This window comes from Homo sapiens, chromosome 11 (assembly GCF_000001405.40).
Source record: "Homo sapiens chromosome 11, GRCh38.p14 Primary Assembly".
Classification (NCBI taxonomy): domain Eukaryota; kingdom Metazoa; phylum Chordata; class Mammalia; order Primates; family Hominidae; genus Homo; species Homo sapiens.
In genome coordinates this window covers 4,558,113-4,580,589 of record NC_000011.10, presented here as the reverse complement: position 1 = coordinate 4,580,589, position 22,477 = coordinate 4,558,113, and the positions used below count along the sequence as shown (strand labels likewise).

The 22,477-nt window shown below is 42.2% G+C and overlaps 1 long non-coding RNA gene across 1 annotated transcript, besides 1 other annotated feature; it reads left to right on the top strand.

The window, feature by feature from the left end:
• Positions 1–2,769: 2,769 nt before the first annotated feature.
• C11orf40 (chromosome 11 putative open reading frame 40) lies at positions 2,770–9,167 on the top strand. The gene is made up of 4 exons (NR_172945.1): positions 2,770–2,910; positions 7,118–7,284; positions 8,296–8,434; positions 8,961–9,167. It is a non-coding gene; the product is annotated as a chromosome 11 putative open reading frame 40 (long non-coding RNA).
• Positions 11,017–11,222: a silencer, noted in NCBI's record as "fragment chr11:4590598-4590803 (GRCh37/hg19 assembly coordinates)". NCBI's record gives its function as "represses an EF-1alpha promoter that drives an FKBP-Casp9 reporter gene in an ReSE screen in HepG2 liver carcinoma cells {active_cell/tissue: HepG2}" and the evidence as "EXISTENCE:reporter gene assay evidence [ECO:0000049][PMID:32094911]".

Genomic DNA, 22,477 nt, shown 5'->3' with positions numbered 1-22,477 from the left:
AGCCTAAACTAGCACATTCTTAAAGACCAGGTGGACTTCAGTTTAACTTCACATCTGATAGAAGACCCATTCTTCAAGCCTGCAAAATGACTAGTCCTACCAACACCTTAGTATTTTGAACTCCAAAACCTGTGCATCCTGTTTCCTGTAGGGTCATTCAGAGAGCAGGCCATAACATAAACATCAACTAGCATACTGAACATTGATAAGTGAACAGTCAAATGCAGAAGACAATTAAGATATGATTTAAGTAGCCCCAGCATGAGATGAGTCAGCTAAACTGGGATACTCTCTGCTAAGATTCAACCTGTTCCTACGGAAGCATTCAGAGCAGTAGTGGATCCTCACAAACAGATGGTGGCCTTAAACTCACTTTTTCATTCCCAGTCCCATGGCAGAAGACTTCCAAATAGAAATATTCCAAAAAGGACAAAGACCTAAGGTAACAGAATAATGATACAAGAGAAGGTATTCTACGTGGAAGCAAGAGCTTTCAACATCTTTGATTGTCCCTCCTTTGTCATTATTTGCCCATAGTCCTTGCCATTCAGCCTTTACAACCTGCATCATATAGAAGAATGCCTAGGATGACGTAAAACCAATCATTGAACAAAGCTGCCATAGCCTGTAAGAGAACAGAAAAAGCAGAGAAAAATAGGTAAGAGTTGTATATCTCAAAAATTGAGCAGAAATGTTTGATTTTGTGTCCAGCTAAAATTGCCTTCTTGTGTTCAAGATAATACGGCTAAAGAAACCCAAGAAATATTGACAAGGTCTTCAAACTTCAGAAAACAGTTCAATTCCTTCATCTCTCCCTTTTCAAATCTCCACACTGTACTCCAACACAAAAGAGGCATTTAGAAATACATAAAGATCTATCCTCAGGAACACACATGTCATCTCAGTCTATTGACTTGGCTATTTACATTAGTTGATGCAGAATCTTGAGGTCCTGAAAGTCCCCCGCCCCAAATATTACTAAGATTCCCCAGGAGGTACCTGTAGTAGTTATCACAAATGAAACCCCGTGTTCCATTTCTGGCATTCGTGCCCCAGTGTAAGCCCCTCTTCCTGAGTGGTGCTGGACCTAATGGTTCACTTCTACTGAATAGAATTCTGCAAAAGCGGTGAGATTTCACTGTCCAAATTAGTTATAAACACACAGTGCTTTCCATCTTACCCTGTCTTACTGTCTTTCTCACCCTTTAAAAGGTAACACAGTATTGATGATTAATGTCGATGGCTGAACTTGGCAAAGAGTGTGCAAAAAAGAAAAAAGACTAATCTTCTTATAAGAACTGACCCAAAAATACTAAATAAAATATTAGCAAATATTGGAGTGGCTTAGAATAGGGACTTCTCAAATGTTAATATGTATACTTTTTACATCAGTGTTGTAGGCATCAGGGGTATGTTAAGCTCCAGACTGAAGCCAAGAAAGAGAATTTAGATGCTGAATTTCTAGCTGATAAAGTGACATATAGGTCTATATTCGGTATCTCTAATGACTCCAACCTATTTGGATCCATTTTGTAGTCTTTTTTGTAATGGAAATTTGCACTTAAAATGGACTAGGACACACATTAGGCAGCTGAAGAAAGTATAGCATAAAAGGAAGAGATGATATAGTCGACAAGTGGCTAGATTTTAGGGTATAGTGGAAATCTTTGCCTGCAGACGTTATAACCTCAGAAGTTACGTTGAGGGGAACTAGGGATTAAGTCTGAAATTCATTAGGCCAAAGCTTTGTTCCTATTTGCCACCTCAGCATAAAGGCAAATGTCCGGCTTGTGTGTGTATGTGTGTTTGTGTGTGCATACACGCATGCGTGCAAGTATTGATACACAAGTCCCATGTCAATCACACAGTCCTTTTTGCTTAAGCTAATTTTCACTAGGAAGAACCCTGCCATATTTTCCAAGGGAATAAATTCATTTTGGGCCATCAAGAGCCAGCCATAATACCACCTAATGAAAAAATCTACAAGATTCTAGTTATTTCTTCACAAAAGTATCTCTTTTTTTATTACAGAGAATGCAACAGAATTGTTCAAACAGCAGAATATCCTTAGAGATGGATCAGCTTAATGAGTCTCTTGAGATTGAGGTTCAGGTCAAGACACATCAATTACTTAAGGTCTTTGGCCTCCTGCCAGGAGAATTTATCACTTCCAGCTCTCTACGTGTGTCCTTCTCTACAATTTCCATTGCTAAAAAGTTAACCAATAAATACAAGCACATTTTAAGTGAGCTTTAAATGTATTTTCCAAATTTGTCTGATATTTTCGTTCTAATAGTTTTGTTTCTGTTATTTTATGCCTGAATCTTTTAAAAACCAAAATTGAGAAGGTGAATATATTTTTTGTCTGTTTATATTGCTTCTTACAGACTTTTATTTATTTTTGGTCCTCATTTTTAAATTATGTTTAATTTTATTCTACCTGTTTCATAATGTCTTAACAAACAGGAACTATGATAAGAAGCATGGGAGCAACAATGGGAGAGTCCATTCTATCATCAGGAAAAGTCTGACCATTTATTCCCTTCACCCATTGTAACGTATATGGATGTGTTTTGGTCAAGGAATAAGCCAAGGCAGATATCCAGGCCTGCATGATTCAGCAAGTTTGTTGCACAGGTGCACACTTCTACTTGTTATATAGATTGTTTGTGTAAGTTCATACTTGGCTCTGAGCCACTATTGTCTGTAAAAGGTATAATTGCCTTGCTAACACTATACAGGGACTTTTGGGGCTTGGCTCAACTCAACATGGCTCTAGTGCAGGCGCTGGTGCCCAGAGAAAGAGAGCCAAAGCTGTCCATTTTGCAGATGGACAGAGGGGACCCACAACACAGCTCACACTGGTGCCCAGAGAGAGAAAAAGTTAAGCTGCTGACCCTGAAGCCAAGGGTGAGCCGGCTATGCAGCTGCAGGCATGGGGGCGGCAGGAGCCACAGAGCCAGAGCACACAGTTGAGATAAAGGTGGACAGTGTGAGAAAGTTGTTAATAAGAACTGCTGCTGAATGAAGTCATCTTTCACCTGCATATGGACCCCCGAGTGTTCTTTCTGTTCATCCACCCACTCCCCTCGGACTTCAGCATGGGCTGGACCTGAACCCTAGGATCTGACACCCATCTCAAGTCCTCTCAGAAGACTAATCAGATATAAACTTTCCCCAGCTGTAAACTGTGTAGCTCCACACAGATCCCCCCCTTGAAGCACTCATTACCTCATAAGCTGGGAGCTATCAGCTGCTGATAGTTCACACCTACATTTCTTTCAGGAATTACCTTCAGCCAAAGGGAACTCTATTACCCTAAATTAGCCACCCTCCGTTTGCAATGATTGTATTTAATGACTAGTTGATGGTGAGTTTAAAGGCCTGACTCCCTTGCCTAACTCAGGACAAGTGTGTAGGACCATCTCTACTCCAGAGTTTCTCGTAAATCAGCTGGGAAGTCTGATGAAACTCCGTTGTAATTCACCTTCTCCCTCTGCAAAATTCTGCTTCCTTTGCACCTGTTGAGACATTGTTTGTGAGCTTACTTTCTGATAAACTTTCAGCATGGAAAGGTCTCAAAGTCAGTTTCTAAGGAACCCAACTTAAGACAGTTGATAGCAGGAATGGCCCCAGAAAGTAGACTCTCAAGTGTGATTATAAGCTGGCAGGCTGGAAATGAGGACCCAGAAAACTGTTTTCTAAGTTGTCCTGAACACAATTAGGACAAGAGAATCCTTACCATGCTAAACCATATGCTTCCCTTTTCTTCTTCTTTTGCTAGTTTAAAAGATACTTTTTGATAGGAAAAATTCACTGAAAGTTAACTAATATTGGTTCTGTGACTTTATTCTGAGTTGGTTCTAGATCTGATCATAGAATCTAGGGAGTGATGTATATTTCACAATGTAGAGTTCATTTTCTTTACTGTCAAGTTTAAGATTCTAGCCCATGTCTGGCAATGGCAACTTTTTTTTCTTGTGAATCCTGATGTTAAATTTTGGAAGGTGAATTATGATACTGTAGTTACAGGTGAACACACTCAGGAGTCTCCCAATTTAAAAAATCAGCACCAGCTCTCAGCTGCCACTTTGCTTCTGGTTTAGTGGGTTCAGGAGCCTCCGTGGCTCCAGCCAATCCAGGCTTCAAGAATTCTGACCAATGGCGTTCCCTCACCTTCTATTTAAGTTAAACTTCAACTCCTCTTAGGCTTTATAAGCCCCTGACTGAAATGAGGTGGGTGGGGTCTGGGTAGTTTGGGTGGAAACTGGGAGACTTCTAAGTTAGTTTCTCCTTTCTCTCTGTGTCTTTCTTTCAGCTTTTTCTGTTTCTGCTTACTTTAAGAGATAAGAAATTCTTTGCTGATTTGCTGTGAGAAAAAACAAAACGAATAAGGCACCTAGGTTTAGTTCTGTTTCCTTCCATCTTTCTCATAATCTCACGACTTGCCCGGGAAGTGAAGACTCGAACAACAAGCTCAACATTCCTCGCTTTCTCTAATGAAATAGTGAAAATCAGCACTGAACTGAGATGCTTTGGGCTAGTGGAATACTAGAAAATACTTCTCAGTTCCGGTAAACCTCATCTTTTCTCTCACCACTTCCTTTCTGTGGTTATTGTGGGGCCATTGGAATAACCCCAGACTAGGCATAGTTCCTAAAGAAGGGCCTCACTAAGAGGCTGGGATGGGAGCATTAACCCTGCTTTCCCTAGGAAGGCTGTTTCTAATTCGTGGGCTTAACGTCCCTTATAGCAGAAGGCTTAGAAGAAGGACCTTTTTGGCTGGACGCGGTGGCTCATGCCTGTAATCCCAGCACTATGGGAGGCCAAGGCAGGCAGATCACCTGAGGTCGGGAGCTCGAGTGCCAGCCTGATCCAACATGGAGAAAACCCATCTCGGCTAAAAATACAAAATTAGTCGAGCACGGTGGCGCATGCCTTGTAATCCCAGCTACTTGGGAAGCTGAGCCAGGAAAATCGCTCGAACCTTGGGGGAAGAGGCTGCGGTCAGCAGAGATTGTGCCGTTGCACTCCAGCCTGGGCAACAAGGGTGAAACTCCGTGTTTGTTTTTTTTTTTTTTTTCTCTGTGTGGCTTTTTTGTTGTCTTTTTTTTGGGGGGGGAGGGGAAACCCTCTGGTTGGCTCAAGCTTCACTTATAAGTCGGGCACAATCTCCTCTTAAGAACTGGCCTTACCATTATTGATAGGGAAGGTTGTGGGCTACTTTCCTGCCAACTCAAAATATTCCCCATCAGAGGGAAGCTGCTTATACATACATACCCCATTCTCTTGATGCCTTTACTTCATAGCTTTCTTTTCTGAAGCCATCCAAACATTCTCTCAGGAAGGACTCAATGTTACTTCACTTTCTAGGATGCTTGCCTTGGCTGAGGCTTTTTTCCCCCTAACAAAGTCTTTTTTCAGAACATAAGAGTTCCATTATTCTGACCTAAGTTTTCTTCTCTCCCTTCTCTCTCAATTGACCTTTTTGGTGGCTTAAGCCTTGGAAGACCCTTTAGTGTTCATTTAGGTTCTGATTCCATTTGTCTTGATGGAAATTGAGAGACCACAAGACTAGGGAGTGACTTTTACTGGGAAACGGACATATCACTAGTGTTGTCATAGCCACTGTGCATTGCTTCCTCTTCCTTTGCTGTTCAAGCTTACAAATCCAGGCCAGGCATGGTGGCTCACACCTGTAGTCCCAGCACTTTGGGAGGCCCAGGTGGGTGGATCACGAGGTCAAGAGATCAAGACCATCCTGGCCAACATGGTGAAACACCGTCTCTACTAAAAACACGAACTAGCTGGGCATGGTGGTGCATGCCTTGTAGTCCCAGCTACTCGGCAGGCTGAGGCAGGAGAATCCCTTGAGCCTGGGAGGCAGAGGTTGCACCAAGCCAAGATTACACTACTGCACTCCAGTCTGGCAACAGAGCAATACTCCGTCTCAAAAAAAAAAAAAAAAAAAAAGCCAGGTGTGGTGGGCGCTTGTTATCCCAGCTACTCAGAATGCTGAGGAAGGAGAATCACTTCAATCTAGGAGGCAGAGGTTGCAGTGAGCTGAGATGGTGCTATTGCACTCCAGCCTGGGTGACAAGAGCAAAACTCCATCTCAAAACAAAACAAAGCTTGCAACTCGATTCTTACTTTGTCCTTATAGGTATACACGGTCCCTCTTACTACATACTTTCTTAGGTTCCTAAGTGTTTTCTTGGGTTCCTGGATGTTTTGGTCCTTGAGATTACTCTTAGTTTGTTCAGGATCCCTTATGACCTCAATTCTAGACTAGAATTGATCCTCACACTGTTATCTTGCTTTTTTCATGGGACCATAGATCCACAAGTTCTTTTCCATACTTAATGTAGAACCTACGGATTTCTCAACCTCGTTTTCTAATAGGGATCTCTGATGTTCCTCAGCCTACAGTTGAGGGGTCTCCACTTAACTTCAATGTTCTCTGCTCTGAGCAACAATACCTCTGAAATGTACATGGCTAGGGGATGGAATTGGACCAGTAAATGGGATTGTGATACTGACCCTAGAAGTTATTTTCCTTCCCTCATCCTCCAAGACATTTCTGCCCTCAGAATGGAAGAACCCTGATAGAGGCAGAAGTCATGAAGTACCCTGAGACCCTTGTTGATGGGTAAAACCTAAGTGTACACAACTATATAGGGTAGAATGACAGACACATAGAGACTCAGAAGGGTGGGGATAGGATGGATGAGAAATTAATGGGAACAATGTACGTCATTCAGGTGATGACCACTAAAGGCCCAGACCTCACCACTATCCATGTAACAAAACTGTATAACCCTTAAACATATACAAAAAAATCTAAGTGCCCTTCCTGTAAGGACTCATAGTTGCCTATTGCTTAAAGGGCTTTCAAGGCATTTTCCTAGGGGTTTCATGAATTAGCTACTTCTGCCTGACTGAGGGCAGAGTTATGCCTTTAATTTAGGAGCTCACAGATGCCTTTCATCACATACTGAGACTGTCAAACCAGCAAAGCTAGCCACCCTCACCTGTGGCTGCCTTTCTTTTGAAGAGCTTATCTTGATTCAGGGTAAAAAAGACTCCTGTGCTTCAGATTGTGATGGCTCATTGATAGGAAACATCCAAAAATATCCTTATAAACTTCTACAGAGCCTTTAACTTAGATAAGGATGTGTTCATACACCAGGCCAACCACCCACTAACAGTGCCGTCTAGTGTGGTGATGGGTGATAACGGCCACACCTTGGCAGAAGATGACAAAAGACCTTGCTTTAGGGTACTGTAAGTGTCTGGCTTCAAGGATGACCTTCAAGGAATGCAGCAGTGCCCTGGGAGTAAGGAAGTACTACCCAACCTTAATATGCACTTTCAACAGCTGCTGTCCAAGTATAAGAGCGACCAGGGGTCTCTTTGGTACCCTTTTATAAAGGCACTAATTCCATTTACAAGAAATCTACCAATTACCTCCTGAAGGCCTCACCTCCTAACACTTACCTGGTCTCAACTTAAGAATTTTGAGGGTGTACACACATTCAAACCATAGCAGTATATAAAAAGCATAAGCTTAACAAACACTACCTAATAAATCACAAGAATTGTTAATGTCTGTTTTTTCACCCCACTTAAAAATCAAAGTTCCAAGTTGGATTAAACACTCATACATAATGACGTCTATAAACTCAAAGTTGGAAAAAATCATACGAGTGGGGGAAAGGAGTCACTATTACATCAGATAAAGCAGACACTAAACCAACAATAAAGGGAATTACATAATGATAAAGGGTTCCATTCCACAAGACTTAACTATCATAAGTACATATGCACCCAACATTGCAGCACCCAGATCCATAAAACAAGTACTTCCAGACCTGTGGGAAAACTTTGCCACCCAATAGTGAGGGACTTTAACACCCCACTGGTAGTGTTAGACAGATCAAGTCAGAAAACTAACAAATCCTGGACTTAAATTTGATACTTAACCAATTTGACTTAATAGACATTTACAGAATACTCCACTCATCAACCACAAAACATACATTCATCTCATCAGCAAAGGGAGAACATAATCTAAGATCAACCACATGCTCAGCCATAAAGCAAGTCTTAATCCAAAAACATATCGGGGTTAGGTGTCCTGAAAACTTCAAAACTGCCAGGATGGGCAGAAATGGAAGAAGCCAAGATGTTTTTGGTGAATGGTAAATTGAATTTCTGTAGCACATAGTTATCTTCCTTTATGTGCCGCCTCCTAGAGCTCTTTCATTTCGTCATAGCTTCACTTGCCCTTCAAAGACCTTGCTATCTGGAACGTGTTTCCAGTGGAATCTCTATTTCCTGGATCTCAGCCCCTCTACCTGTGGGAGCAATGAAACACCAGCTTCTATGTGACTTAATGGATCTTATCACGCTTTCTTTCTGGTTAGCAGGTCAGGTTTGTGTTGAGACATAACTATTAGGTCATGTCTTTTTCATATCTATGGGGAATGTCTTACCCTGTGGTTTCTAGCTGGATCTCCTAGAGACTTTTTGGTGCCCCAGCCATTAATGAGCATAACAATGCCATAGAATTTGAATGGCTTTAGAGCTACTTTGGTAACAGTAATTGTCTTTCCCCTTCTGGCCACATTGATTTTTTTGGTCTCTTGTGGTGTGAAATGCAGTGGCTACTTCAAAATTTCTAAATTTCTGGGATCTTCACAGTATCTACTCGATTTTGGTGCTTCGCTTCTGTAGATGTGCTCATGCACTACTCCAATCCATATGCCTCTATTGCATTCCAACTTGTTACAGGCCTTCAGTTATTTTCTCCTTTCCTGCCATTGACCAGCAGTAAAGCAGTTTGCCACTGACCATTGTATATGTATGTAGCAGCCATCCTTTTTTTTTTTTTTTTGCTCGTACTCTGATCCATCTGTGAAACAGTCATTTTCTTACTGTTTATTCTTCATGCTCTGTAGTGTATGAGCCTTAAAGCTACCAACATGCAACACTGCAAGTGTTCAATAGCCACAAGTGACTGGGCCATTGAATTGGACCGCACTGATTACAAAACACTTCCATCAGAATATTCCATCCTAGCACTGCTCCAGGTCTTTGCAGGGAAAAACTGTATGGATCGTGTTCTACTTCATGTGGATGTGAACTACTTGAAGTCCCTGCCCTGATGTAGAAAAACATTTGCCAAATCAATGACTGCAGTATGGTGATTATTAAATCAGATGCTGATTCAGGTGTTACTGTGCTGTGGCAGAGATACCATATCTGGCAGAGCAGCTTAATTGGGGCTAACATTTGGTTGAATTTGAGGTACTTTTTCTCTAGGATCTTTGTGTTTTGAGTGCTATACTGGTGAACTATATGGGGATATGAGAGTCATTAACTGCAACCTTGAAACCATTTTAAGTGTCACTTTTTGTATCCCTTCTGTTACATAACACTGTTTACTGTCTTGTCCAGAGAAAGGGAAGTTTCAAAGGCTTCTATCTGGCTTTCCCCACTGATACCACTTGCCTCATAGGCCAAAGTTATAAGTAGACATATCTATTCTGAGTATACATTTGGGGAAAATGATCACCAGGTGCATTCCAGAATCAGGATCAGCTATGAGCTGGCTATTCATTATACTCCACTGTGAACTAAAATCTATTACCTGGCCTCCTATTCCCCCACTGACTAGGGAGCCATAATGAATTTTGGGTTGCTGGTTATCAGTGTTCTCTAAAGCTTATGTCAAACATTCTCCAAATGGTTGGTTATTCTTTTTTCCAGTGTAAAACTACCTGAACGAATAGCCATAGATCCCCCTAGGGGAAGGAGTAGGGGAATCACTATCAAACTAGTAGCAAGCTGTTGACACCTTCCGCAAAGGAAGACACGTGCAATCAATGTGTCCTAAGCCTAAACACAAGGGAAAGGGTTATAAATATTGTAATGTAATAGACTATAAAATGGTCATGGCCTAGCTCTTATTTTTTTTTTTTTTAGTACTCAGGTCTTAAGTTTGTCAGTAGTTACCTTCCACAAAGTCTAGAAAGCCCAGGAATCTAGTGGTTAATATTCCCCTTATATATCCAACCCACCCACCACCCCCAGAAATCCAAAATCTCAATGCCTGGGAATTGCAAAGGTCTGTATTCCTACCAGAGAAGTGCTGCTATCCAAGCATCTTTGTATTTAATAAGATGTTTGAGAATTGCATCATTGGAACTGCCTGACCTAGGATTACTATTTTCAAAGTCTACTAGCAAATGCTTTCTTTCAAAGCCTAAGTACTTTTCAGCCATGTGATCTGTTTCTACATTTTCTAATAAGATTAAGTTTACTGCTGATAAGGAAACAATTTTACCTGACAACCAAGGTTAGCAGTTGATGGAATAAGAGATAAACCAAATTAATTCCTAACATAACGAAAGTCTGTATGAACTCCAAGCCTCCATGTTAGGTACCTCCCCCAACACCCTTATAACATGCTTATAGATGTTTTCCGACTATTGAGTAAGGCCCTCCAATAACTCATATTACTAAGTTAAGACACACATGAAATGTATAAAGGAGCTGACTTACTTGAAACAAATGGGAGTTCCCTAAGCCCCCTCTCACAGGATGTGTGACAGGGGTGTGGCTAATGTTTGGCTGAGACCCCTTACTGTGACGGGTGTGCACACTGAGACCCTTACAGGAGGGGAAGCATGCAGATGGGCAGATGCAGGAGCCAGTGTGAGTGCCCCTGGGCTCTAGCCCCATGGTAGCATCCAGGGGTGTGGGTGCCTGTGACTCCCAAAGCCCAAGTGGGCATGTGTTATAGTGGGCTCTTTTAGCTTTGCCATCCCCAGACAGCTTAAGTGTTAAACAGCTCAGTTGAACCTCTGCCTTTTCACAGGCTAATGTGACAGCTTTCTGTATTCCAAGCTCTTGTCTGGTATCCAGGAAAAATCGGGTCACACACAAAGGATGAACTCAGGGGTTTTACTGACTGGTGGAGGTGGCTCTCAGTGGGATGGATGGGGAGCTGGGAAGTATAGAGTGGGAAGATGATCTTCCCCTGGAGTTTGGCCATCCTCTCCAAACTGTCCCCAGTTGAACTCCTCTTAGACGTTGCCGCCCTCCCGACGCCCTCGGTTTAGGGTTTACAAGGGTACAGGGTCCTACCCTCCTCCTGCCGCCCTCCTGCTGCCCTCAGTTTAGGGTTTACAAGGGTACAGGGTCCTGCCCTCCTTCCGCCGCCACCCTCCCCGCCTTGGGTTTAGGGTTTACAAGGGTACAGCGTCCTGCCCTCCTCCCGTCGGCCTCGGTTTAGGGTTTACAAGGGTGGTCCAGGGTCCTGCCGTCCTCCCGCCGCCCTTGGTTTGGGGTTTACAAGGGTACAGAGTCCTGTCCTCCCACCGCCCTCGGCTTAGGGTTTACAAGGGTTACAGGGTCCTGCCCTCTTTCCGCCGCTCTCCCACCGCCCTCGGTTTAGGGTTTACAAGAGTACAGGATAGTTAGGTATGGTGGACCAAATGGCAACTTTTGGGAACAAAAACAGGAATGCCTGTTCCCATTTAGGGCTGTGGGTTTCCAGGCTTGAGGGTGGGGCTTTGCCAGGGAACTGCCCTCTTCTACCCAGTATTTCCCTGTCTCTTGTCCGTATCAAAACTGGTCTGAGATCGATCATATCTGGACTCAGGAGCCTATGACACACATATTGGACCTATATAACTGAAATAACAAACTGGAATACCATTGCAGTGATCTACGTCAAGGTGTAACATACACATTTTTGTCTCATCCTTGTCAACCATTCACATCCCTGCAGGGGTGAAGGATCTGAGGACTAAACTGACTGTTTAATCTTGCCAAAGTTCCTATCTAAGGGGTCTGGGGCCTCATGCCCTATAAACCATAAATTCTCATCAGATGGGTTTTACTTAACTGTTACATATTGTGACTTTCCAATCTCTCTGGCATAACGTTACATGACAAAGAAAATCAAAATACTTCACCCCAAAGTTTCTTTGGCATACTTTGAAATGGCCCTGCAAAGCCAACATCTGGGGAGGTAAATCTGCATCTGTAAAGAATCTAATAAAGCTAGATCCTTTTTCTTCCAGGCCCTCCCAATCCTGAAGAGATTAACTGAGTCTAGCACCTTTTAAAGGTCTGAATAAGAAACACTTGTCATCTATTGTCTAAGGGCAGCCACTATGAGACTTCAAAATAACCTTGGTCTCCACAATGTTTTAACCTGAACATTTCCTTTATTGATTCCAGTTCTTTTAGATAAACCAGAAAATTTTTCGTCCACAAGAAAATGTAAGTTTCCCTACAGCTTGGAAGCCCCCCACCCACCCCATGTACTTCTTAAATGTATTTGATGTCTCATGTCTCACAAATGTATAAAATCAGGCTGTGCCCTAACCACCTTGGAACATGTTCTGAGGACCTCCTGAGGGATGTGTCATGGGCCACCGTCACTCATTTTTTGGCTCAGAATAAATATCTTTTAGAGTTTGACTCTTCTCAACAGACAGTTGTGGGGCTTCTCATTGAGATCGAGGATAGTGGACTTGCTCAACTTCCTGTCCTCCCTATAAAACTGAGTAAACTTCATGCCAGGTTAAGGCCTTACTGAGTCTTATGGACATACTAATTCAAACTTGTGAACACTGCTGATTATGGCTTAGCTGTTCTAATGATTTTTCTGATGGACTCAATTCAGCTGCTTCTGAAGTACTTGTTTCTCAAATGTCTGTTTTGTCCCGTTGCATTTAGGATAGAACACATAGTCAGGTGGTATCAGGTAATGCACGGGCACCACAGACTTCCCAGCACCAACGAGAAGGGTAAATGAGTGCTACGATGAAAAGGCCAAGACACCAAAAATGAATAGCAAACCTGGCCGGGCACGGTGGCTCAAGCCTGTAATCCCAGCACTTTAGGAGGTCGAGAGTTCGAGACCACCCTGACCAACAGAGAAACCCCATCTCTACTAAAAATACAAAATTAGCTGGGTATTGTGGCACATGCCTGTAATCCCAGCTACTCAGGAGGCTGAAGCAGGAGAATCACTTGAATTTAGGAGGCAGAGGCTGCAGTGAGTTGAGATTGTGCCATTGCATTCCAGCCTGGGCAACAAGAGCAAAACCGTCTTAAAAAAATAATAAAATAAAAATGAATAGCAAACCTTCCCTCCCTGCAAAATGAAACCTATGGCCCCTAGGGAGAAGCAGATCTAAGAAGAATTCTTCATGAATAAGTAACCAGTGCTGAGAATATGAAAAAATGGTGGGAGCACTATTGCCTAAAGTCACTCTCTACCTGCTTTTCATGGCTTTCATGAGCACAGGGCTTCCCTGCTGCCCTGAATGTATTTCTGGGGACATACGAACCAGGGCTCTGAGTTCATGCAAGTGTTAACTAGGCACTGTTTGTTCCAAGGCAATGCAGGCGACTAACAAGGCCCAAACTCTCAGTTTGCTTTCTATTGCATCTTCCCATAGCTGTGCTTGAATATCTCCTGTTTCTGGCCAAGGCTACACCTCAAAAACTTACCATTACTCTTCAGCCCAGCCTTCTTCGAAGTCTAATTTGTGTTTTTGTACAGGTGGTACTTCTCAGACTGACCTTGGTAAAAAGGAGCTAGCAGTTACGCTAGTTTGCCACAAACCTCACACCTAGAAAGTTTTGGGGATGCTTAGAACTCAGTCTTTAAAAGCTGCTCTTAACCCTGTATGTTCAACTTTGATTCTAATAGGCCCTTCTAAGATTCGTCCATGTTTGTGGCATTTGTGTAATGGATTCTGTATTACAGACGAATACTGACTTTTTTTTTTTTTTTTTGAGGTAAATGAATCTACTTGTAAAACGCTAAGCTTTTAGCCAAAGTTATTCAATAGGACTCAAGGCATAGAGGTTGCAGTCTGAGTAGGAAGCTATGTTTCACTGGAGAAGAAAATTTCTCAACCCTGGTAAGGTCATGGTTGGGACAGACTCCTGTAACAGTGAACAGATTTATCAAGAAAACAAGTTTATTAATGTGTCCTGTCGTGCATATCACAAGGCCAAAACTTCAAAAGATAACCCTAGGCTTAGACCTTTAGGCTTATGTAGCATCTCCAGCATGCCCCCCTACTCCCCCCCTCCCCCGCCCCCCACCGCAAAAAAATAAAAAAATATACTTGTAGAGAAACAACAAAACAAAGTGACCTTTAGGCTTCCAAAGGCAGGAAACTGGAATGGTAAATACCTGAGAAGAAACTATAATGGAGTAAGGTTTGTAGACTGATAGCCTATTTTTAGGCAGAAAGTGGGGAGGAAAGAGCTCTCCTGTTTGCTGCTTAATTGCTTTAGTTCAAACTTCTTATGTTGAGGCATATTTTGGGGTAACATAATCTGGTTTCCTTCAATCTCATGTATGAATTAAAAGTTCAGCACTGTCACTAAGGATGGGAAAAGACCATTAGCTATAACTGTCCTAATCTCGAAGCCTTAGTTTTGGGCTGACATTTTCCTTTTAGGTAAGAGCCATAAAATAATGAACATCTGCCAAGAGTGGCTCTGGAGTAGGGGGTAGAGTAGCCTTAGGGAACACAGTGGGGCCTCCACACAAACTATCCACACAACTAGAAATTCAGCTGAGTGACCGAAAGACTGAATTTCCTGAGTTAAGATAAATGTGAAAACTTGAGTATTTCTCGAAGAACCCAGAACTATCCAGTTTTGTCCCAGCAAAGGTCAAGCACTTAGTCACATTTCTTATATCCTCCCACTTGTTCTGAGTCCAAGAATTGGGAAGGGGAGAAAGGAGCAGTTCAGAATAAAAGCCTTAAAGCCAGAAGTATTGAGTTCTGTATCCATAACTAGGATTAACATAAAAATAAGCTCCTAATGGAGAAAATCAAGCTGGATTGTAACTGTCAATCTACTAGTCCAGAGAAGTTAACAGCTTATTCCTATAGCTGTGCTTTCATGCCCTTTAAGTGTATTAACCGCATGTAATGCCTATAAACTTCAAGGGACCTGCTCTGCATTTAGGCTGTACCTTGAACTCAAAATGCTATAGGAGATGACTAACACCAAGTCATTCAGATTTATATCTGCACTAGAGCTGACCTCCCTAGAGTGAAAAAGGGAAAGCATTGAGAAATTGAGTGTTGTGATGGTTACATGGCGTTTTTCTTTTTTTTTTTTAATTCTGGGATACATGTACAGAATGTTACGTAGGTATACATATGCCATGGTGGCTTGCTGCACCCATCAACCTGCACCTATCAACCCATCTAGGTTTTATGCCTTCCATGCATTGGGTATTCATCCTACTGCTCTCCCTCCCCTAGCCCCCTACCCCTCGACAGGCCCCAGTATGTGATATTCCTCTCCCTGTGTCCATGTGTTCTCATTGTTCAACTCCCATGCATGAGAACATGAGGCGTTTGGTTTTCTGTTCCTGTTAGTTTGCTGAGAATGATGGTTTCCAGCTTCATCCATGTCCCTGCAAAGGACATGAACTCATTTTTTATGGCTGCATAGTATTCCATGGTGTACATGTGCCAAATTTTCTTTATCCAGTCCATCATTGATGGGCATTTGGGTGGTTTCCAAGTCTTTGCTATTGTGAACAGGTCCGCAATAAACATACATATGCGTGTGTCTTTCTAGTAGAATGACTTTATCATCCTTTGGGTATATACCCAGTAATGGGATTGCTGGGTCAAATGGTATTTCTGGTTCTAGATGCTTGAGGAATTGCCACACTGTCTTCCATGATGGTTGAACTAATCTACACTCCCACCAACAGTGTAAAAGCATTCCTACTTCTCCACATCCTCTCCAGCATCTGTTGTTTCCTGACTTTTTAAAAATCGCCAGTCTAACTGGTGTGCGATTGTATCTCATTGTGGTTTTGATTTGCGTTTCTCTAACGACCAGTAATGAGCTATTTTTCGTGTTTGGCCTCATAAATGTCTTCTCAGAAGTGTCTGTTCATATCGTTTGCCCACTTCTTCATGGGGTTGGGTTTTTTCTTGTAAATTTAAGTTCCCTGTAGATTCTGGATATTAGTCCTTTGTCAGATGGTAGATTGCAAAAATTTTCTCCCATTCTGTAGTTTGCCTGTTCACTCTGATAGTTTCTTTTGCTGTGCAGAAGCCCTTCTAGTTAAATTAATCCCATTTGTCAATTTTGGCTTTTGTTGCCATTGCTTTTGGTGTTCTTGTCATGAAGTCTTTGCCTATGCTTATGTCCTGAATGGTATTGCCTAGGTTTTCTTCTAAAGTTTTTAATCCATCTTGAGTTAATTTTTGTATGAGGTGTAAGGAAGGAGTACAGTTTCAGTTTTCTGCATATGGCTAGCCAGTTTTCCCAGCACCACTTATTAAATAGGGAATCCTTTCCCCATTGCTTGTTTTTGTCAGGTTTGTTTGAAGGTCAGATGGTTGTAGATGTGTGGTGGTATTTGAGTCCTCTGTTCTGTTACATTGGCCTATACATCTGTTTTGGTACCAGTACCATGCTGTTTTGGTTATTGTAGCTTTGCAGTATAGTTTGAAGTCAGGTAGCATGATGCCTCCAGCTGTGTGTGGTGTGTGGTGTGTGGTGTTTCTTAGGATTGTCGTGGTGATATGGGCTCTTTTTTGGTTCCATATGAAATTTAAAGTTTTTTCTAATTCTGTGAAGAAAGTCAATGGTAGCTTGATGGGAATAGCATTGAATCTATAAATTACTTTGGGCAGTATAGCCATTTTTATGATACTGATTCTTCTTATCCATGAGCATGGAATGTGTTTCCATTTATTTGTACCCTCTCATTTCATTGAGCATTGGTTTGTAGTTCTCCTTGAAGAGGTCCTTCACATCCCTTGTAAGTTGGATTCCTAGGTATTTTATTCTCTTTGTAGCAATTGTGAATGGGAGTTCATTCATGATTTGGCTCTCTGCTTGTCTATTATTGGTGTATAGGAATGCTTGTGATTTTTGCACATTGATTTTGTATCCTGAGACTTTGCTGAAGTTGCTTACCAGCTTAAGGAGTTTTGAGGCTGAGACTATGGGGTTTTCTAAATTCACAATCATGTCATCTGCAAACAGACAATTTGACTTCTTTTCTATTTGAATACCGTTTTTCTTCCTCTTGCCTGATTGCCCTAGCCAGAACTTCCAATACTATGTTGAATAGGAGTGATGAGAGACAGCATCCTTGTCTTGTGCCAGTTTTCAAAGGGGGATGCTTCCAGCTTTTGCTCATTCAGTATTATATTGGCTATGGGTTGTTATAGCTCTTATCTTGAGATATGTTTCATCAATACTTAGTTCGAGAGATTTTAGCATGAAGGATGTTGAATTTTTTCAAGGGCCTTTTCCACATCTATTGAGATAATCATCTGGTTTTTGTCATTGGTTCTGTTTATTTGATGAATTATGTTTATTGATTTGCATAAATCAATGTTGAACCACCCTTGCATCCCAGGGATGAAGCCAACTTGATCGTGGTGGATAAGCTTTTTTGATGTGCTGCTGGATTCAGTTTGCCAATATTTTATTGAGGATTTTTGCATCAATGTTCATCAGGGATACTGGCCCGAAATTTTCTTTTTGTTGTGTTTCTGCCAGGTTTTTGGCATCAGGATGATGCTGTCCTCATAAAATGAGTTAGGGAGGAGTCCTTTTTTTTCTACTTGGAGTAGTTTCAGAAGGAATGGTACCAGCTTCTCTTTGTACCTCTGGAAGAATTCGGCTGTGAATACATCTGGTCCTGGGCTTTTTTTGGTTGGTAGACTATTAATTACTGTCTCAATTTCAGAACTTGTTAATTGGTCTACTCAGGGATTTGACTTCTTGCTGTTTTAGTCTTGGGAGGGTGTAAGTGTCCAGGAATTTATCCATTTCTCTAGATTTTCTAGTTTGCATAGAGGTGTTTATAGTATTCTCTGATGGTAGTTTGTATTCCTGTGGGATCAGTGGTGATATTCCCTTTATCGTGTATTGTCTATTTGATTCTTCTCTTTATTAAAGTCTAGCTAGTGTTCTATTTTGTTAATCTCTTTAGTAAATCAGGAGCTGGTTTTTTTTTTTTTTTTTTTGAAGTGTTTTTAGTGTCTCTACTTCAGTTCTGCTCTGACCTTAGTTATTTCTTGTCTGCTAGCATTTGAGTTTGTTTGCTCTTGCTTCTGAAGTTCTTTTAATTTTGATGTTAGGATCTCAATTTCAGATCTTTCCAGCTTTCTGATGTGGGTATTTAGTGCTATAAATGTCCCTCTTAACACTGCTTTAGCTGTGTCCCACAGATCCTGGTATGTTGTCTTTGTTCTCATTGATTTCAAAAAACTTTATTTCTGCCTTAATTTCATTATTTACCCAGTAGTCATTCAGGAACAGGTTGTTCAATTTCCATGCAGTTGTGTGGTTTTGAGTTTTTTAATCCTGAGTTCTAATTTGATTCCACTGTGGTCTGAGACTTACGATTTCCATTCTTTTGCATTTGCTGAGGAGTGTTTTACTTCCAATTATGTGGTCAATTTTAGAATAAGTGCTGTGTGTTGCTGAGAATCATGTATATTGATTTGTGGCAGAGGATTCTGTAGATGTCTATTAGGTCCACTTGGTCCAAAGCTGAGTTCAGGTCCTGAATATCTTCATTTTCTGTTTCGTTGATCAGTCTAATATTGATAGTGGGGTATTGAAGTCTCCCATTATTGTGTGGGAGTCTAAGTCTCTTTGTAGGTCTCTAAGAACTTGTTTTATGAATCTACGTGCTCTTGAATTGGGTGCATATATATTTAGGAGAGTTAGCTGCTCTTGTTGGACTGATGACATAAATGTAAACTTTATGTAATGCCCTTATCTTTTTTGATCTTTGTTGGTTTAAAGTCTGTTTTATCAGAGACTAGGATTGCAACCCCTGCTTTTTTGTTTTCCATTTGCTTGGTAAATATTCCTCCATCCCTTTCTCTTGAACGAATGTGTGTCTTTGCATATGAACTAGGTCTCCTGAATACAGCACACCGATAGGTCTTGACTATCCAATTTGCCAGTCTGTATCTTTTAATTGGGGCATTTAGCCCATTTAAATTTAAGGTTAATATTGTTCTGTGTGAATTTGATCCTGTTATCATAATGCTAGCTGGTTATTTTGCATGTTAGTTGCAGTTTCTTCATAGTGTCATTGGTCTTTATATTTTGGTGTACTTTTGCAGTGGCTGGTGCTGGTTTTTCCTTTCCATATTTAGTGCTTCCTTCAGGAGCTCTTGTAAGGCAGGCCTGGTGGTGACAAAATCCTTCAGCATTTGCTTGTCTGTAAAGGATTTTATATCTCAGCTTATGAAGCTTAGTTTGGCTGGATATGAAATTCTAGGTCAAATTCTTTTAAGAGTGTTGAATATTGGGCCCCACTCTTCCAGCTTGCAGAGTTTCTGCAGAGAGATCTGCTGTTAGTCTGATCGGCTTCCCTTTGTAGGTAACCTGACCTTTCTCTCTGGCTGCCCTTAATAGTTTTTCCTTCATTTTAACCTTGGAGAGTCTGATGCTTATGTATCTTGAGGTTGTTCTTCTCGAGTATCTTAGTGGTGGCCTCTGTATTTTCTGAATTTCAATGTTGGCCTGTCTTGCTAGGTTGGGGAAATTCTCCTGGATAATATCCTGAAGTGTGTTTCCCAACTTGGTTCCATTCTCCCTGTCACTTTCATGTACCCCAGTCAAACATAGGTTTGGTCTTTTGACATAGTCCCATATTTCTTGGAGGCTTTGTTCATTCCTTTTCATTCTTTTTTCCCTAATCTTGTCTTCACACCTTATTTTTCAGTAAGGTGATCTTCAGTCTCATATCTTTTCTTCTGCTTAATTTGATTTGGCTACTGATGTTTGTGTATGCTTCACAAAGTTCTCATGCTGTTTTTTCAGCTCCCCCAGGTCATTTATGTTCTTCGCTAAACTGGTTCTTCTAGTTAGCAATTCCTGTAACCTTTTATCAAGATTCTTGGCCTCATTGCACTGGGTTAAAACATGCTCCTTTAGCTCAGAAGAGTTTATTACCCACCTTCTGAAGCCTGCTTCTGTCAATTTGTCAATCTCATTCTCAGTCCAGTTTTGTGCCCTTGCTGGAGAGGAGTTGTGATCATTTGGAGAAGAAGCACTCTGGTTTTTGGAATTTTCAACATTTTTGTGCTGACTTTTCCTCATCTTCAAGAATTTATCTACCTTTGATCTTTGAGGCTGATGACTTGGATGGGGTTTTTTGCATGGGGGTCTGTCTTGATGACGTTATTGCTTTCTGTTTATTAGTTTTTCTTCTAACAGGCCCTTCTTCTGCAGGTCTGCTGCAGTTTGCTGGAGGTCCACTCCAGACCCTGTTTGCCTGGGTATTACCAGTAGAGTCTACAGAACAGCAAACATTGCTGTCTGCTCCTTTCTCTGGAAGCTTCATCCCAGAGGGGCACTGGCCTAATGCCAGTCAGAGCTCTCCTGTATGAGGTGTCTGTGTCAACCCTTGTTGGGAGGCCTCTCCTAGTCAGGAGGCATGGGGGTCAGGGACCCACTTGAGAAGGCAGTCTGTCCCTTAACAGATCTGGTGCGCTGTGCTGTGAGAATCCCTTGTCAGAATCAGCTGCTCTCTTCAGAGCTGGCAGGCAGGAAAGATTAGGTCCACTGATCTGCACCCACAGCCGCCCCTCCCTCCAGGTGCTGTCCCAGGGAGATGAGAGTTTTGTGTATAAGCCCCTGACTGGGCTGTTTTCCTTCAGAGATGCCCTGCCCATTGAGGGGGAATCTAGAGAAGCATTCTGGCCACAGCAGCTTTGCCATGCTGTGATGAATTCTGCCCAACCCAAACCTCCCAGTCTCCTTAGCACTCAGGGGAAAATTGCCTACTAAGGCCTCAGTAATAGCGGATGCCCCTCCCCCTACCAAGCTCTATCATCCCAGGCCGACTCCACACTGCTGTGCTGGCAGTGAGAATTTCAAGCCAGTGGTTCTTAGCTTGCTGGGCTACATGGGAGTTGGGACCTGCTAAACGAGACCGCTTGGCTCCCTGGCTTCAGCCCCCTTTCCAGGAGAATGAACGATTGTCTCACTGGGGTTCCAGACACCACTGGGGTTCGAAAAAAAACTCCTGCAGAGCTAGCTCGACATCTGTCCAAACAGTCACCCAGTTTTGTGCTTAAAACCCAGGGCCCTGGTGGTATAGGCACAAAAGGGAGTCTCCTGATCTGTGCATTGCAAAAACTGGAAAAAATGTAGTACCCGGGCCAGGTAGCACAGTCCCTCATAGCTTCCCTTGGCTGGGGGAGGGAGGTCCCCCAACTCCTTGCACTTCCCAGGTGAAGCAATGCCTCATGCTGCTGCTTCCCACTCTGTGGGTTGTACCCACTATCAAACCAGTCTCAATGAGATGAACTGGGTAACTCAGTTGGAAATGCGGAAATCACCTGCCTTCTGCATTGGTCTTGCTGGGAGCTGCAGACCAGAGCTGTTCCTATTTGGCCATCTTGGCCCCTCCCTCCTTCATTCCTTCCTAAATGGCTTTGAAAGAAGTCTTTGAAAAGAGATCTCAAGGGACTCTACTCATAACAGGTATTCTTCCCAACAACAGACTGCTGTGGGCATAAAGTTGAAGATTTTCCTGTGGGACTTGCCATAATTGTGTTAGAATGGATCTTTCCAAAAAAAAGATAGAATTAGATATCTCAGAGGTTTATTGAAGGAGGCTGGAGGGGAAAATGGCCATAAAGGAAGATGGAGAAGAGGGATCTCAAGAGGCTTAGAAAAGCCATGAGGTCACAATCCAAGTATCATCTTTGGGAGGACGGAAGGAAAATAAGGAGGGTCTTAGGTTTCTGTGCATCTCTAAGTCTTGGCAAGGTTAATGGAGACCTTGAACCAAAGGCACCTATAAGGAGTCCAGCATCTCACAGGATTAGAACTGTCTTAATAGCTCTGTGCTCATTCATTGGTCAGAAACAACCAAAGGGAAGTGAAGTCTAGACAATGCCATGTATTTCTAGAGCACAGTGACTGAGGCCATCAAATATGCTCACTGCATTCAAATCTGAAAGGCATGTTTTCATGGCCACCACAGTCTGTTCTTGTACTGCATGGATCTCCTTCAAACAGATGTGGGGAGCATCTTCATAGCTCCAGTGGGCCTCCCTTGCTGAAGGGGAAACTTAGAAGATTAGTAGAACAAACTACAGCCCTTGTCTCTGAAGTTTTAGGCCACTACTCTTCCCTGCCATTCCTTCGCTGCTCAATTCTTCTCACTTTCCACTATTGCCATTGCAAATCTTGGTGGCTTACCTAATAGGGTGGCCCCAATCCTTTATTCTTGAGGGGACTGACACGTTAATCATACCCTTATCTGGGGAATGATCCACATGTATGCCCATAGTCACAATGGGTCAAGGAAGCACCAGAAAATGTCCAAATGGATCATCTGGCTTCACATATTTTACATATCTCTTCCTTCATACATTGTATAAAGGCAACCCTCTCTTCCCGCTAATCAAGA